Source organism: Homo sapiens, chromosome 6 (assembly GCF_000001405.40).
Source record: "Homo sapiens chromosome 6, GRCh38.p14 Primary Assembly".
NCBI lineage: Eukaryota > Metazoa > Chordata > Mammalia > Primates > Hominidae > Homo > Homo sapiens.
The window spans coordinates 17,176,609-17,195,297 of record NC_000006.12 but is presented as its reverse complement, the minus strand read 5'-3'; the positions used below and the strand labels follow the sequence as shown (position 1 = coordinate 17,195,297).

At 40.8% G+C, this 18,689-nt stretch overlaps 2 annotated features.

Annotated features, from left to right (window-relative positions):
- Positions 1,793 to 1,993: a silencer, noted in NCBI's record as "peak5698 fragment used in MPRA reporter construct". NCBI's record gives its function as "represses an SCP1 promoter by STARR-seq MPRAs in K562 erythroleukemia cells {active_cell/tissue: K562}" and the evidence as "EXISTENCE:reporter gene assay evidence [ECO:0000049][PMID:32103011]".
- Positions 15,257 to 16,456: an enhancer, noted in NCBI's record as "CDK7 strongly-dependent group 2 enhancer chr6:17179073-17180272 (GRCh37/hg19 assembly coordinates)". NCBI's record gives its function as "activates an origin of replication core promoter dependent on BRD2, BRD4, P300/CBP, MED14 and CDK7 cofactors, with strong dependence on CDK7, by STARR-seq in HCT116 cells {active_cell/tissue: HCT116}" and the evidence as "EXISTENCE:reporter gene assay evidence [ECO:0000049][PMID:35650434]".

Below are 18,689 nucleotides of genomic sequence, written 5' to 3'. Positions count from 1 at the left end.
CCCAGCACTTTGGGAGGCTGGGGCAGGAGGAACACTTGAGGCCAGGAGTTTGAGACCAGCCTGGCTAACATAGCAAGACCCCAACTCTACAATATGAAAATGAAACCGGCTGGGTGCAGTGGCTCACGTCTGTAATCCCAGTTTTTTGGGAGGCCGAGGTGGGTGGATCACGAGGTCAGAAGTTCAAGCCCAGCCTGGCCAGCATGGTGAACCCCACCCCCTCACCCCCCATCGCTACTAAAAATACAAAAAATTAGGCGGGCATGGTGGCGCGTGCCTGTAGTCCCAGCTACTCAGGAGGCTGAGGCAGGAGAATTGCTCGAATCCGGCAGGCGGAGGTTGCAGTGAGCCGAGATCGTGCCATTGCACTCCAGCCTGGGTGACAGAGTGAAACTCCATCTCAAAGAAAAGAAAAAAAAAACAAATTAGGCATGGTGGTGTGCATCTGTAGCCCCAGCTACTCAGGAGGCTGACGTCGGAGGGTTGCTTGAGTTCAGGAATTTGAGGCTGAAGTGAGCTATGATTGTGCCACTGCACTCCAGCCTGGGTGACAGAGTGAGACCCTGTCTAAAAAAATAAACAAAAACTTATTTTTCCTGCTCTCATACACTACTCAACACTTCTGACATCAGATGTGTGTGGGGGTTTTCCCTACACACCAAGAAATTCTCCAGCAGATACCATTTGGGTGTCTAATAATCTAATTCATTCGGACGCTAGCTACCTGGAGATAGCATCAGCTCCCGTAGGTTAAAGGTGCAGTTCCAGAGGACTGCCCCCACTTCAGATGCCAATCATAAGCCCCATGTTATGACCTGTGCTTCTGATTGACTGGCTCTAAATCAGGGTTCCTATGACCCCCTCCTCAGGTTCAATTAGAACTCAGGGAAACACTTATGTTTACTCATTTATTATAAAAAATACAAATGAACAGCCAGATGGAAGAGATACATAGTGTAAGGTATGAGAAGAGATGTGGAGCTTCCATGCCCTTCCTTGGGCACCACACTAGAGGAACCTCAACATGTTCAGCTGTCTGGAAGCTTCTGTGAACGCTGCCCATTTTGGTTTGTATGGAGGCTTCATTACATAGCCATGACTGATGAAATCCTTGGCCACTGGTGATGAACAGAACCTTCATCCTCTTCTTCCTCCCCAGAGTTTGGGGGTGAGATGGGGCTGAAAGTCCCAACCTTTTAATCCTGCCTTGATCTTTCTGGTGACCAACCTCATTCTAAAGCTAGCTAGCAGCTGCCAGCCAGTCACCTCCTTAGCATACAAAAGACTTTTACTATTTGGGAGATTACAAGAGTTTTAGGACCTGTGTGCCAAGAACTAGGGGCAGAGACCAAATACATATTTCTTATATCATAATATCATAGCGTTGTTCTTTTAAGTTCTTGGTGACACCCTCTGGACCCTTGGGTCTAACCTCGGACATTTCTCCTTTTTGATAGAAAATGGCCCATGTTTGCAGCTGAGTGACATTCTCAGCCTTTTTCTGCCTGTAGATGATTGGGGGCTCAGAAACAGCCTTTCTTTTGAGCTATTCTTTATTGCTTTGAGTTCAAGCAGGCACAATTTCCTTAAAAATATGTTTGGTTTCTTATGACTCTAGATGGAATTTATTCCATGTTCCAAAAGCCATGAGGCCCCAAGAGGCCAAAACAGACCTCTGTCTACACTGGGCACATCAAGCTATTGTGGGTCACTACCCTTATGATTCATAGAAGTCCATTTGTCTAGCTAATGGGATCTACTAAGTACTGCCTTAACTCTTTGTGGGATCTTAATAAAGGAATTTACTGCCACACATGGATTTCCTCTTTATCGTAAGCATGTTTTACTCAGAGAATTTTTTACTGGCTGGAGAGACTGAGGATGAGAAACAATTTTATTTCACAATCCAGTAAGTCCTGGGCACTCTAGATTTCCTCTAAATTCTACTTGCGGACTGAAAAGTTCTTTCTAGTTCCTCTCTCTTATCATGTATACCATGTGTCTTATCATATGCAGCTAAAGGAGGCCAAATAATACTTTCAGCATTCTGCTGGACATTTTAGCTACAGCTACAACTGTATCTAAGTGAGGTCCATTTTCCCCTCTTCCAAGTTACTGCAGGCAAGAGTGTTGCCAATTTGTTATCATCTGAATGTTTGTGTTCCCCTCAAATGTATATGTTGAAATCCCGGTCCCCAAAATGATGGTATTAGGAGGTAGGGCTTTTGGAGGTGATTAGGTCAAGAGGGTTCTTCCCTCAGGAAAGGGATTAGTGCCCTTAAAAAGAGACTACAGACCCTCTTACCTCTTCACCATGTGAGGACTGAGTGAGAAGATAGCTGTCTATGAACCACAAAGTGGGCTCTCACCAGACACTGAATCTGTCAGCTTTTATCCTGGACTCCCCAGCCTCCAGAACTGTGGGAAGTAAATTTCTGTTGTTGATAAGCCACCTAGTTTACTATATTTTGTTACAGCAGCCTGAATGGGATAAGACACAATTGTTTCACTATACAAAACAATGAGTACCCACTTAACAGTTTCCAATAAGGAGTTCCTCCCTGCTTTTCCAGCCTCCACTCATAGTTTGTTTGCAGCCCGTCCAGGCTTCATTAACAATTTTCCAGCCAGGTTTTCAGCCTTCGCCCACTGTCCAGTTCCAAAGCCAATATCATACATTTAAGATTTTTGTTGTTTGTTTGCCTACCTTTAGGATTTTGTTACTACAACATTGCAGTTCTAGTTGGCAATTTCTTTTTAGGTTATATGTTGCCATATAACTAGTCACCCCAAACCTTAGTGACTTAAAACAACAATGATTTATTATTTTTTAAAATGATTCTGTAGGTTGGCTGAAAGATTCCTCTGCTAGTTTCACCTGAGCTCACTTGTTTGGTTATTCAAGGGAGTTGGCTGAAAGCTAGGCTCATCTCTGATCCCTGGGACAGAGGGGGCTCTCTTTCCATCTGGGAGGAATACCAGGAGCTGGGATTCATTGGGAGCCATCTACCCTCACCTTTAAAGGACCAGCATTACTTATAGCAGCCTTTTCAGTAGTAACAGGAGAAGCCAGTGGGAAGTAAAATGATATTGTCAGTGCATTAAAAAAATACAAAAAACAGCCAACCTAGGATTGTAGACCGGATGAAAATATCTATCAAGAATGAGGACAACATAAATGCATTTTTAGACGAGTAAAGCTGAGAAAGTTTGCCACAAGCAGATGCTCACTAAAGGAAATTGTAAAGAATAAGCTTCAGGCAGATGGAAAGTAATTCCAGATGGAAAATCTGAGATGCAAGATGGAACAAAAAGCATGTGAAACAATAAAGAAATATATTAAGGGGTTACAAATATGATAGAGTTAATATATATTCACCACAATATGCAAGTTGGAAGCAGAGTTAATAGAGTTAATAGTGTTCTAAGTTTCTTTGTTTTTGTTACTGTCCAGAGGAGGATGCCTGTTGATTAACATCAGGCTTTATTAAGTAGGTATGCCAGGATTTTTTAAAAATGTAGAATGGGTTGAAAAAATACAAAGCAAAAAATAATATGGTTTATATAAGTCAAAATATGTTACCAATTACATTAAATGTAAATGAACTAAAAGTTCAAATTAAAAGATAATACATTTAAGCAGTATAACTTAATTACCTAATCTAAACATACAGTAAACATATATTAACTGAAATTTAAGGGGAAAAAAAGAGAGAAATCCACAGCCACAGCAGAAGGTTTTGGCATACGCCCCTGAGTGATAAATTTGGCTCATAAGAATTAGATAAGCTATAGAATCTTTTAATAGCATGATTAATAAACTTGACCTAATAAACATAGCTAGAAAACTGCACCCACTAACCCATTTTTCCCTAGCATACACAGAACATTTATAGCAAAGGAAAAAAAACAAGGTCATACAGTGAGTCCTAATAAACTGTGAAGAACTGAAATTTTACAAAGCTTGGCTCAATTGCAATGCAAGTAAGCTAAAAATAAATAATAAAAATAAGTAGAAAAGCTCATAGTTTTAGAAATTAAAAAATATACTTCAACATAAAACACAGGTCAAAGAAGGAACTGTATTAGAAATTAGATAATATTTTGAACTGAAAACTAGTACGTATTTAATTGCTTATAGAAGGTAGCTAACACATTTCATAATAAAAAATTTTAAATCTTAAAAATATATTAGACAAGAAGAGTGGCCGAAAATGAATGAGCTAAGCATCTATCACAAATCAGAATACAATCAGCAAAATACCCTTGCCCCCAGAAGTTAGAGACAGGAAATAAAGTAAAGAAATAAATAAAGTAGACAACAAATGAAGACATAAGAACAGAAAAATAAGGTATAAATAACCAATGACAGGGATGAAAATGAGTTTCCACTTCTGATGCTGTAGTTATTTTACAAGTAAAAAGATGATAATATGAGCAACTTTTTTCTAAAATATCTAAAACTCTAGACCTTAAGCTAATGCCCTCGTTTCTTACTTTGCTGAGAAACTTGAAATAATCAGAACTTCCACAGTCCTCTACTACAGAACCTACTCCCGTGCAAGTATTCTCATCTACACCCATGTATTTCCTGCCTGTTAAATATAATAGATTTTTCCATGCTCCTATCTAAACCCAGTCCCAGCCAGGGGCAGTGGCTCATGCTTGTAATCCCAACATTTTGGGAGGATGAGGCACGAGGATCACTGGAGCCCAGGAGTTCAAGAACAGCCTGGGCAATATAGTGAGACCCCCATCTCCCCCAAAATTTAAAAATTAGCTAGATGTAGTGGCATGCAACTGTAGTCCCAGCTACTTGGGAGGCTGAGGTGGGAGGATTGCTTGAACCTGGAAGGTCCAGCCTGCAGTGAGCCATGTTTGTGCCACTGCATTCCAGTCGGGGTGACACAGCGAGACCCTGTCTCAAAAATAAATAAACAGCGCCCCCCCAAAACATAATCCTTCTATTTTTGCACTGCATCCTATCCTTCTCTTCTAGTTAAGGACATTTCTTTACTAGTTCTCCCCTCTTTGCTACATAGTCAGTATTTTACTCTTTTACCAAGTTATTTCCATCAACATTCAAACTTCTTCCTCCAGTTACTCATTTCCATATTTCTTCAAGTGTTTATCTATATTCTCTGACTATGTCCTCTCCTTCCATTCTGTCTCCATGCACTCATGCCTTTTCTCCTACTACTCTATCAAAATAGTTCTTTTTATGGGCACGAATAACCTTGCTAAATCTAAGGTCAACCTCTATCACCATCTTACCTAACCTATCAACAGCATTTGACAGAATAAGGGTAAGTTTTTTCTGTTTTCTAGAAATACACTTTTCTTTGGCTTCCAAGATAGGGTAGTTGCCAGATTCCCCACCTATCTCATTGTCTGCTTATTCTTTGTCCCTTTTGTTGATTTTTCCTCTTCTCCCCAAACTCTTAATGTTGGAGTTCAACAAGGTGAACACTTGGTTTGCCTCTTCTTATTTCTTTTTTTTTTTTTTTTGAGGTGGAGTCTTGTTCTGTTGCCCAGGCTGGAGTGCAGTGGTGCGATCTTGGCTCACTGCAAGCTCCCCCTCCCGGATTCACGCCATTCTCCTGCCTCAGCCTCACAAGTAGCTGGGACTACAGGCACCCACCACCATGCCTGGACAATTTTTTGTATTTTTAGTAGAGACGGGGTTTCACCGTGTTAGCCAGGATGTTCTTGATCTCCTGACCTCATGATCCACCTACCTCGGCCTCCTAAAGTGCTGGGATTAAAGGTGTGAGCCACTGCACCTGGCCTCCTCTTCTTATTTCTATGTACACATACTTCCTTGGCAATATCATCATTACCATTAATTTAAAAATACCATCTATATGCCAAGAACTCCCAAATTTCTACCTCTAGTCTGGACTTTTCTCCCAATTTCCAGATTCAACTGCCTGGTTGATAGCTCTACCTGGCTTCATGACAGAAACCTCAAACTCAACACATACCAAAAGGAACTTTGGATTTCATCTGCCAAACCATTCTTCTAGCCACACATGTAAAACAAAAATAGAGTTGGTTTTAATTCCTCTTTTATTTCCTCCTCACACCACACATCCAATTCATCAGGAAATTCTGTTGTCTTAGTCTTCAAATATATCCAGATTTTAACCATTACTCACCACTTCCACTGTTTACCTTACCTGAACCACTATTATCTTGCACCTGGATTATTGTAATAGCTTCGTAATTGGTCCTGCTCTTTTCATGTCTGCCTTCCTATAATCTATTCTCAACAAGGCTTTAAGAGCGGTCCCTTTAAGGTGAAAATCATGTCATGCCATACTTCTGCTCAAAACCCTGCAGTACCCCATTTCACAATTCCTTCAGTGGTCTACAAGTCCCCATATGATCTAGCCCTTTAGCTCCTCTGACCACCTCACCTATTGGTCCTCTCATTGCTCACTCCAGACTAGCTACACTGGCCTCTTTGCACATATTCTTGTTATCCACATGGCTAATGCCCTTATCTCTTTTTTCTTTTCCTTTGAGACAGAGTCTCGCTCTGTCGCCCAGGCAGGAGTACAGTGGCACGATCTTCGCTCACTGCAAGCTCCGTCTCCCAGGTTCACGCCATTCTCCTGCCTCAGCCTCCCGAATAGCTGGGACTACAGGCGCCCACCACCACGCCCAGCTAATTTTTTGTATTTTTTAGTAGAGGCAGGGTTTCACCGTGTTAGCCAGGATGGTCTCGATCTCCTGACCTCATGATCCGCCTGCCTCGCCCTCCCAAAGTGCTGGATTACAGGCCTGAGCCACCGCGCCCGGCCGCCCTTATCTCTTTAAAATATTTTCTTAGCTGTTACTTTTCGATAAGACCTTCTCTTACCACATTATTCCACTGTACCTTCCCAAATTATCCCTGGATCTCCCTATCCCCCTTTCTGTTCCATTTAAAAAATTCCATAGTACTTTTCACTTTCTAATACCTGGAATAAGACTTGTGAATTGTATTTAATTATACCTTCTGTCTCTTGTTGACAGAATTTTATCTCCACAATGGCAAGGACTCTGGTTTGTTTTGTTGATGTGGAAATGTGCCTAGCACACTGTATGTGATCAATAAACATTTGTTAAGAGGATGAATGAATGAAATATACAAATCCTTACAAAAATCAAGACCATATATATTTTATAAAGGGCAACACATCATGACCAAGTTAGGTTTGTTCTAGGAATGCAAGATGGTTTAACATCAGAAAAATCAATGGATGTAATCCACCACATTCAATCTTTTTTTTTTTTCTTTGAGACGGAGTCTTGCTCTGTCACCCAGGATGGAGTGCAGTGGCGCAATCTCGGCTCATTGCAACCTCCGCCTCCCGGGTTCAAGCAATTCTCTGCCTCAGCCTCCCGAGTAGCTGGGACTACAAGTGAGTGCCACCACACCCCGCTAATTTTTGTATTTTTAGTAGAGACTGGGTTTTACTATGTTGGCCAGGCTGGTCTTGAACTCCTGACCTCGTGATCCACCCGCCTTGGCCTCCCAAAGTGACATTCAATCTTTACAGAAGGTACACCACATTATTTTCTTGATAGATTAAAACAAACGACATGTTTGATGAAATTCCACATCAATTTATAAGAATTTAGAAAATACTTTCAGCAAGCTAATAATAAATGAAACTTTCTTATGTTTATCAGGACATCTAACAAATCTATAGCAAATGTTATACTTAGCAATGAAAAATAAAAACTTTCCCTTTGGTCAGAATGAGACAAGGACATCTACTATCACCACTTCTGTTGTACCAGAGGTTCAAGCTGGAACATTAGGACAGGAAAAATAAATAAAAAGTATTAAGATTGGTAAGGAAGAAACAAAACTGTAGCTCTTTGTAAATAATATAATAATTTACATAGAAAATGCAAATGACTTATAGAGAAGTTATTAGAATGAATTAAAGAGTTTAGCAATTTTGCCGAATACAAATTTAATGAGCAATATTTACATTTTGTGTGGTAGCTACAAACAATGAGAAAATGAAAGAAAAAGGATATTTTTAACATGAACATTTAAACATACCTAGAAATTAATGGTTTTAAAAATGTGTAGGAGACCTTTATAGAGAAAATAATAAAACTTTATTGAGCATCTAAGAAAATAAAGAAATGAAGAGATATACCATGTTCATGGATTAGAAGATTTAGTATTACTTAAGCATACCAATTTTCTCTAAATTGAACTACACGTTCCTTTCAATCCTGATATAAGTTACAGCAGATTATGTATTGAAATTGATTCACTACTTCTAAAATATATGAAAATACAAATGAAAATGCAAAAACAAACCCACTAAAAACATTAAGTATAGCATTTGCTGTTATACTTCTGAAGAAAAGTATAAGAAAAGTATATGATATAAACTGTGGCATTTACATAGCATGGCATTGATACAGGGAGAGATAAACAGACTGATGGAATGGAGACCCCAGAAATAAATATGCTTATTTAGAAAATTTTTGTGATGAGGGTCACTTTGTATATCAGTGGGGGAAAATGGGCTTTTCGAATGATAGTTCTGGGACTAGTAGACATCCATATGGAAAAAGGTAAAAGTTGAGGCTTACCTCATATCATACATAAAAATCAATTCTAGGAGGCTAAGAGAGCTAAATGTGAAAAGTAAAATTATACGTCCCATAGAAGATAGAAAGACTTCAATGACCCAAGAGCAGGGAAGAATTTCTTAATCATGTAGGAAAAAAGTTGACAAACATAACATTATAATAAAATGAAAAATTTCGTTTATGAAACAGCATCATAAAGAGAGTAAAAAGGCAAAACACAGAGTAGAAGAAAATAGTTGCAACATGTATTACCACAAAAGGCTAGTATCTTGACTATGTTAAAAATTCCTACAAATCAATAAGGCAAGAACTGAGAATCCATAGAAAAAAATGAGAAAACCCCTACATAAATGAGGCACTTCACACAAAAGGAAATAAAAATGTCAATAGACACATGAAAAAGTGCTCAACATAATTGGTGGTGACAACCAAAATGAGCAATTGAGGCATAAGTTTCAAATCATCGAGGGTTATTAAGCCAGCTTGATGGTGTCCCCTGGAAAAACACAAGTCATTGAAGTGTCTGTGGCTGTTTCTTCCAAAAAGATTCTTAAGAGGTTCAATATTTATTCACTTTCCTTAAAAAGGGTGGGGGGGATGGCAGTGAGACAACTGATTGCATACTTGTGAAACTTCGATGAGTGTCCAGAAAATCTACATTTTACATAACATAAGGTGAACATTTGAAGAAAAAGGGAATAGAAGAAGCAGATGGCTCAGGGAGGAGTAAAAGAACGATTAATCTCATCTATCTCAGGGAGAGGTGAAGGAATGATTAATCTAATCTTTGTTCTTTATCTGGGAAAATAAGTTAGTAGTCTTTTGAAAAAGCTGGTTTTTATTTAGCCGTTAGAGAAGAAAACCCATGACTGTTATCAACGGAGGGGATATAATGAAGCACGTTCGATTTCCCATGCCATCATGGCTGTGAATTTAGCCTCCAAAATTTCTCTGGGGGTATCCTTGGCCAAGAGTGGATCCATTCAGTAAGTTGGGGGGCTCAGAATTTTATTTTTGTTTCTCAGTGGTCAAGGGAATGTGCTTAAAAGCCGCAAATAGAATCTATATTCTGAGGACTAAACTCTGATTTTTTTTTTTTTGTCTTGCCCAAATTCCTATCTAAGGTGTCTGGGAAGTCATGCCCTACAAATCATAAATTCTCATCAGATGGGTTTTATTTAACCCTATATATTGACTTACTTTCCAACCTGACTCTGGCATACATTATGAGGCAAGGAAAAAAATCAAAATATTTTACCCCAAAACATGTTTCTTTGCTATATTTTGAAATGGCCCTGCAAAGCTGTTCTTTGTGGGGGAAAAGTTGCATCTGTAAAGAATCTTTATTAATATAGCTAGATCGTTTTCTTCCAGACCCTCCCAATCCTAAAGAGATTAACTAAGATCTGAATAGGCAACATTTGTCATCTATTGCCTCTAAGGGCAGCCATATAAGACTTCAGAAGAACTTTGATTCTCCACAATCTTTATCTTAACCTGAACGTTTCCTTTCTAAGAATCCCAGGTCTTTAGACAAACTCAACCAATTGTCAACCAGAAAATGTTTAAATTCACCTATAGCCTGGAGGTGCCCCACCCCGGCCCCACCCTGCTTTGAGTTGTCCTGCCTTTCTAGACCAAACCAATGTATGTATTTTCTTTTTCTTTCTTTTTTTTTTTGAGATGGAGTTTCACTCTTGTCGCCCAGGTTGCAGTGCAGTGGCACGATCTTGGCTCACTGCAACCTCTACCTCCTGGGTTCAAGTCATTCTTCTGCCTCAGCCTCCCGAGTAGCTGGGATTACAGGCACCTGTCACCATGCCCGGCTAATTTTTTTGTATTTTTAATAGAGACGGGGTTTCATCATGTTGACCAGGCTGGTCTTAAACTGCTGACCTAAGGTGATCCACCTGCCTCGGCCTCACAAAGTGCAGGGATTACAGGCATGAGCCACCATGCCCAGCCAACCAAAGTATTTCTTAATGTGTTTGATTGATGTCTTGTGCCTCTCCAAAATATATTAAACCAAGCTGCCCCCCGACCACCTTGGGCACATGTTCTCAGGACGACCTGAGAGCTGTGTCATAGGCCATGGTCACTTATATTTGGCTCAGAATAAATCTCTTCAAATATTTTACAGAGTTCGACTCTTTTCATTGACAATTCTATTTGATTTATTTTATTTTTATTTTTAATTTTATTTAATTTTATTTTATTTCGAGACAGGGTCTTGCTCTGTCGCCCAGACTGGAGTGTAGCAGTGTGATCTCAGCTCACTGCAACCTTCCCCTCCCAGGCTCAAGCAATCCTCCTGCCTCAGCCTCCCAAGTAGCTGAGACCACAAGTGTGTGCCATCACACCCAGCTAATTTTTTGTATTTTTGGTAGAGATGGGGTTTCACCATGTTCCCCAGGTTGGTCTGGAACTTCTGAACTCAAGTGATCCACTGGCCTATGTCTCCCAAAATGCTAGGATTACAGACATGAGCCATTGTGCCTGGCCAGAATCTACATTCTACATAAGTTCTTTAGGAAAAATTTTTTTCATTTTAAAGTTTAAGAACTATCTTTCAGTCCATGAATTGTTAAAATCTTCGTGGCATAAGTGTTTTTTCCTTCTTTGCCTAATTTACATATAAATGATCAGAAATGAAATTACTGCATCAAAGGTATAGAAACATTTTTAATAAATCTGAGAGGCAGCATTGGCATAGCTGAACATGGGGTGAGATGATAGGGAAATGAGGAGTTAGAGGGTGTAAATGAAGGAAGCGGCAGGATTTTAAGTTGGATGTGAGTGCATCTGATTCTCCTGGAAGGAATATGGTCCTTCTTTAGACAGGTCCTTTACCTCCGTTCTGGCTTGGCCTTCCTCAGACCTCTCAGATCTACACTCTGTACATTCTGGAAGATGTGAAGAATAGTTCACATGACAGAGAACTATTCTAAGAGACTTTAAAAACAATAATTTGATTATACATTCTAGTGGGATATATCTTAAGGACAAATATAATGGGAGGAAATTTAAAATGGTTATAGTATTCATATCATTGGCGAGTGCTGGCATTCCTTCTCTAAGACAGCTGTGCTATTCTAATGTAATTGTCCAGTGGGTTCCTCCTGCCTGCTGCACAGACAAAATCAATCCACCGAGACTGTGGCATCGCAGCAAAGAGTTTAACTGACCTGAGGCCAGCCACGAGGGAGACAGAGTTATTACTCAAATCAATCTCCTTGAAGGCTGGGAGGTTAGAATTTGTCAAGGATAGTTTGGTGGGACAGGGGATGGGTGCTGCTGATTGGTTGGGGATGCCATCTTAGGGCTGTGGAAAATGGTCCTCGTGTGCTGTGTCTGCCTCTAGATGGGGGCCACGGGACCCCACAGCAGAGTCATGAGTCACAAGTCCAGGTGGGGTTAGTTGGTTGCCAGAATGCACATGTCTAAAATACATCTCAAAAGACCAATCTTAGGTTCTTCAATAGTGATGTTATTTATAGGGAGCAAGTAGGGAAGTCATAAATCTTGTGATCTCTGACCACATGACTCCTGAGCCCTGAGCACTAAGGGATTATAGAAATTATGCCTATATTTTAGCAGAATTCAGGCCCCTCCCATGATCCTAATCTTGTGACCTTTCATTAGTCTTACAAAGTAGTTTTTAATCCCTGAGCAAGGTAGGGGTTAGTTTTAGGAAGGGACTATTATCTTCCTTGCTTTCAAACTTAAACTATAAACTACATTTTTCCCCAAATTAACTTGGCCTACCCCCAGGAATGACCAAGGGCAATTTGGAGATTAGAAGCAAGATGGAGTCAACCATGTCAGATTTCTCTTAGTGTCATAGTTTTGCAAAGGTGTTTTCACTAATTGTATTTTTCTCTGTCACTGACAGTCAGTTTTACTGGTATGGGAGAAAGGACATATTTAAGATAGAAAAGTTTAAATAAACCCTTCACTTCTGAATTTGAATTGGAAGTATCAATATGTTCTCATGACATTTTACGTAAAAAAAAAACAGAACAGTTTTCTAGTTCTGTCTGTGGAAATACTGAGAAAATAATGATCAAGCTCATAGCAATAAATATCCCCAGCAACTAAACTGTGATAGTGCAATTTCATTTCCCACTAAAAGGAAACAAAGTTACTTGAAGAAATGACTGATTCCAGGTCTGGGTCAGGAACTGTACTGGAAGAGCCTGAATGTCTTTCTGGATCAGAGAGCAAAGATGAAAGGAAGAGATCAAAGATTACCAAGTCATGTTAAAAGGACCCCAGGAAACAACCTGAAGAAGCTTCCCTTGGCTAAAGTTTAGACAATTTTAACATTATTAAGAGGCTGGGTGCAGTGGCTCACGCCTGTAATCCCAGCACTTTGGGAGGCCCAGGTGGGCGGATCACCTGAGATCAGGAGTTCAAGACCAGCCTGGCCAACATGGCAAAACCCCATCTCTACTAAAAATACAAAAATTAGCCAGGCATGGTGGCATGCACCTGTAGTCCCAGCTACTCAGGAGGCTGAGGCAGGAGAATCGCTTGAACCCGGGAGGCGGAGGTTGCAGTGAGCCGAGATCGCACCACTGCACTCCAGCCTGGGTGACAGAGTGAGACACCATCTCAAAAAAAAAAAAAAAAAAAAAAGAAATTATTAAGGATAGTAACTGCAATGGATTGAAACACATAAAATATCTTAAAATCCACAAGTTCATAATAATACAGAAAAAAGGCAACTTGAACTATTGTCCATTGGTCTCCCTTAGAGAATGCTAGTGAACCAGCTCATTAATGTAAAAACCAATAAACAAAGGAAAATAATCAAGAATTTATCTGATGGTCCTATATGAGCTGTACCACTGGGTAACTAAATGGTAGTTGAGGGGAATTCTATAGACCAAATATTTGTGTTCCCCCAAAATTCTTATGTTGAAATCCTAACCCCCAGTGAAATGGCCCTTGGTAGGGGATTTGGTCTGGAAGGGGGTCATGAGTGGGATTAGCGTCCTTATAAAAGAAGCTCTAGAGAGCTCATTCACCCACCTGTGTCATGTGAGGACTCACTGAGATGAAGGCCATCTATAAGCCAGAAAGTGGGCCCTCATCAGTCATTGAATCGCTGGCACCTTGATCTATGAATTTCCAGCCTCCAGAACTGTAAGAAATAAATTTCTCTTGTTGATAAGCCACCCAATCGGTGGTATTTTTGTTTTAATAGCCCAAGCTAAGACAGACAAATTTCTCTTTATAGAATTACTCCAGCTAATACATGGAAATAATTGATACAATATTATCACTTTGCATCTCTTAATGCATTAAAGGGTCTGTGTATTTATCATCAGTGCCTGCCAACATCACACAAAGAGAAATGACTTGATGTTATATTCTTCTGATGGAAGCACATATCACCACTTACGAAGCACTCTTGAAAAAATTCATCCTCTTTGTGATCAAGCCCCTAGATCCAACCTATCCTTCACAAGAAATTACAAAAAAAAATAAAGAGTAACATGTTAAAACACCATGGAGAGCCAGGCGCGGTGGCTCATGCCTGTAATCCCAGCACTTTGGGGGGCCAAGGAGGGTGGATCGTCTGAGGTCAGGAGTTTGAGACCATCCTGGCCAATATGGTGAAACCCCGTCTCTACTAAAAATACAAAAATTAGCCAGGCGTGGTGGCACATGCCTGTAATTCCAGCTACTTGAGAGGCTGAGGCAGGAGAATCACTTGAACCTGGGAGGCGGAGGTTGCAGTGGGCAGAGATCGCGCCACTGCACTCCAGCCTGGGCGACAAGAGTGAAACTCTGTCTCAAAAACAAACAAACAGAAAACAAAAACAAGCAAACAAACAAAAAACACCATGGGGATATAATGAGAACATCCAAACTGGGAAACTCTATATGGTACATCACCCTGTTTTCTTCATCAACAACAACAGAAATTCAATGAAATAAAATGATGAAAGAGGATCCTATAGATTATAAGAGACTTAGAGACATCATAACCAATTGGCATTGGTGAGCCTTATTTGGAACCTGATTCAAATAAACAATGTGTAAAAATGAAAATGCACACATTAATGCATTATGAAATAATTAGAAGTAGGAACACATACTAGATAGTTGATGATATTGTGGAATTCAGTTTTGAACGATGTTATAATAATGGTTATTTTTAAGAGTATTGTTAAGAGATACATACTAAAAATTTTATGGTTAAAATGTAAAGAGAAAATCATCCTAGAAATAAATAAATCACCACAAATATGAAAGAGGTATCATTTATTTCAGCAAAATTTTGTTCCCTCCTGAAACTGCCTTCGCAAAAATTATAACAGTGAGAAAAATGTAACCTAACTGACTCCATCTTGCATCTAGCCTCACAGTCTGGCTCTCTGCTCATTCCTGGGCATAGGCCAAGTTAACCATGGGAGGAATTTAGTTTATAGTTTAACTTTGAAGCAAGGAGGATAATAGTCCCTCCCTAATACTGACTCCCTCCTTGTTTAGGGACTGAAACTGCCTTTGTAAAACTAATGAAAGGCCATGAGATTAGGATTATGATAGAGGCCTAATTTCTGTTAAGATCTATGCATAGCTGAATGGTAACTAGTCATTGTTTACTGTTCAGCAGTTGTGTAGGGGTGGTCACAAGATTCATAACTTCCCTAATTGACCCTATAGATAACATTGCTCTTGTAGAACCTAAGATTGGTCTTTTCAGATGTTTTTCAGACTTTTGCATTCTGGTGACTGACTGACTACCTGGACTCATGACTCATGAGTCAACTGCTATTCCCGTGGCTTCCACCCAGAGGCTGACTCTGCCCAAGGACTGTTTTTCACACCCTATGATTGCATCCCCAACCAATCAGCGCTCACCATGCCGTAGCCCCCTGCCTACCAAACTATCCTTGTAAAACTCTAGCCTCCAAGATTTCAGGGAGGGTGGTTTGACTAATTACTCCCATCTAAACAAGTAGAAACTTGTTTAGCCTTGCGATAATTAAGCTCTTTCTCTACAGCAATGCCCGTGTCTCAGTGAATTGGTTTTGTCTGTGCAGTGGACAAGATGAACCCACCAGGTGACTATACTCCCCATCCCCACCACCACCCCACCCAGAAGCCAGAGTTTACTCTATTGATTCACAGATGAACAAGCTGAGTCCACTTAGGTGGATGGAGCTTCAACTACAAAAGCTGGGAGGAGGCTGGGTAGGGAATTGTTCCATGTTGTTTTAGTCATCACTTTGTGCTCACATCATGCCCTGTATGAGTCAGCTTGGTCAGCAATAACAAAATACCATAGGCTGCATGACTTAGCCAATAGAAACTAATTTCCACACTATTATGGGGGCTGAGAAGTCCAAGATCAAGGTGCCAGCAGATTCAGTCTCTTTTGAGGGCTCTTTTTGCTGGCTTGCAGATGGCTACCTTCTTGTGGTGCTCTCACATGGCAGAGGAGAGAGAGAGAGATCTTTTTCTTCCTCTTTTTATAAGGCCACAGTACTACCAAATTACAGCCCCACCCTGATGACATCATTTAACCTTAATTATCTCCTAAAAACCCTATCTCCAAATATAGTCACATTGAGGGTTAGGGCTTCAACATATGGATTTTGGACAAATGCAATTCAGTCCACAGCAGCCCCCATGCAGGACACTCCAGCTCAGTGCTGGGTCCAAGCCAGATCTCTGTGTCGATAGCCAAGTACCTGAGAGGTTCCAGCTACATGAATATTTGCTGGGCTTCATGACAGCCCATATGGCTTTGCACTGTCTGCCAGAGCTTGGCTGAATTAATTAGATCAAATCAAAGAAGAGAGCCTGATAGGATATTGCATTTTGCTAGTCCTTTCCATCACAAGACCAAATACTGAGTGCAATTAATCAGTCACATGACAGAAATGGGGAAGGTTGTTTTTGTGTGTGTGTCATTTAGTTTAGTTTAATTTTGTAAAAGCTTTTTCTATGAAGGCAGTGTACAAACATTTAACTCACCTGCTTTTAAAAGTGACAAAAATAAACATGGAAACAAATCTAATGAAAGAGCAGATTCTAGCAGGAATGCTTCAACATTAGGAGTGGTTGAAAGGCAGGGGGAGGAGGAAAGGGGCAAGAAAGACAAAACAAATAAAGAGAAAAGGAACAATAACAAAAGAGGAGGCACAGGGCCAGCCTGGAAGAAAAGGGAGGGAATTGCATGAGGAAGGAGATCCAGCGAGCTCCATGGAGAAAGAGCAGACACAAGATTCAAGAATAGAACCAACAATCCAGGGAGGCAGGCTGGGAGAGAATGGCTCCAGAGCCTCTGAGATGGGTGTTTCTTAAAATAAGCAACTCTTGTTTCTCTCCGAGAGCATAAAAGATAAAATCATCTTTCCTAATTGTTAGATTGGTTAAATATTGTTCCCACTTAGTTCTTCCTTAGCTCCGAATAATCAGGTAGTCTATTTTAAGTAGAAAAGCTACATGTCTTAAGTGAATGAATTAGTTTTGGACTTTTAGAACCATGTCAACCCAAATAGAGAACAAAATCAAATAAAGGACCCAAATGCCTTTATCCCTGCAGAGCGAGTGTTTTGATTTGTGAGGCAGACACGCTGGTTGCCCACCCCCATGCCCACTTCCCAACTATTCTTTCTGCTTGTTTGCTAATGGAGCGGTGGTTTTGATTGAATGACGATGTGCCTCACCAAAGAGGGGATAAATTACTATGGGCTTCACCAGTTTGGGCAATCCTGCTCTCCATTGGCAGTGACTGGACTAGGGGTGGGTAGTGAGTTGTAAGGGGAAACCTGCTCAGAGACTGATGGGAAAGATTTTCTTACTAATAACAGAGTTCGTTCCTGCTCTGGATGCTGTTGTGTGAGAGTGTGCTGCTGCAGCCAGATTGTGACCAGGAGTGGCAGTTCTGGAGAACCCCAGAGGTGCTGTCCTTGTGTCCTGGTGCTGCTGAACCATGGAACACATTCTGAAACTCCCTACCTCAAGACATCTTATAATGGAGGACAATGAAACGTCTTATGGCTCAAATCTCCACTGGCCTGGTATTCTGTTACTTGCAACTAAACATGCTTAACTGAGCACATTAAGTACAAACAGAACTAAAGGATGTTAGTAGGATTAGGTTCAACCATGATGTACAGAAATCCCAAAACAGCAGTGTGTCAAAGGAGATAGAAGTTTGTTTCTCTCTCATATGAGAGTCTGGAAGCAAATCCAGTTGATGTAGTCATCAAATGCTCATTCTAGCTTGTTAATCAGCAGCCCGTGGCCTCTTTCTCCAAGGTCACCTGTAGTCTATGTTGGTTGCTCCAGTTCTAGCCACCATCTTTTTTTTCATTCATCAAGAAGGAACAAAGGGAAGAAGGGGCACAGGCATGTGGCTTACGTCAACATGTCCAAGAAATAAAGGTCTTCAGGGATCAGACCCAGATATCTGGTGTATCTACAGGTTTCTGCATAAGGTATTGAAGGAGGTTCTCCCCACTTCAGAGGCACCCATGGTGTGTCCTTTTGGGAGTACTGACCAGAGGCAGTGTCTGCCTGGCAGGTTGGTACGTGGTGGGAGCCACAGCAAGAAGCTCAGTCCCCTCATTTCTCATGCAAGCAGGGTCAGTAGAGTGTGGATGTGAATAAGTGCTGGTGAAATACCCTAGGGTGGAGGCTTGATGTGGGAAAGGGGAGCAGGAGGCCCCAGAGGGAAGCGACTGCAGAATCACGATCATCAGTGTGGCTTCTTTATGCCTCCAGGTCAGCATGAACTGGGAAATGGAGGCCACGCAACTATGTGGTCTGAGTTATAATTGATAAAGACCAGGCCAGGCATGGTCGCTCATGCCTGTAATCCCAGCACTTTGGGAGGCTGAGGCGGGTGGATCAGTTGAGGTCAGGAGTTCAATACCAGCCTAGCCAAGATGTCAACACCCTTCTCTACTAAAAATACAAAAATTAGCCTGGTAGTGTGCACCTGTAATCCCAGCTACTGGGGAAGTTGAGGCATGAGAATCACTTGAACCCAGGAGGCAGAGGTTTCAGTGAGCTAATATCACACCACTGCACTCCAGCCTGGGCAAGACAGTGAGACC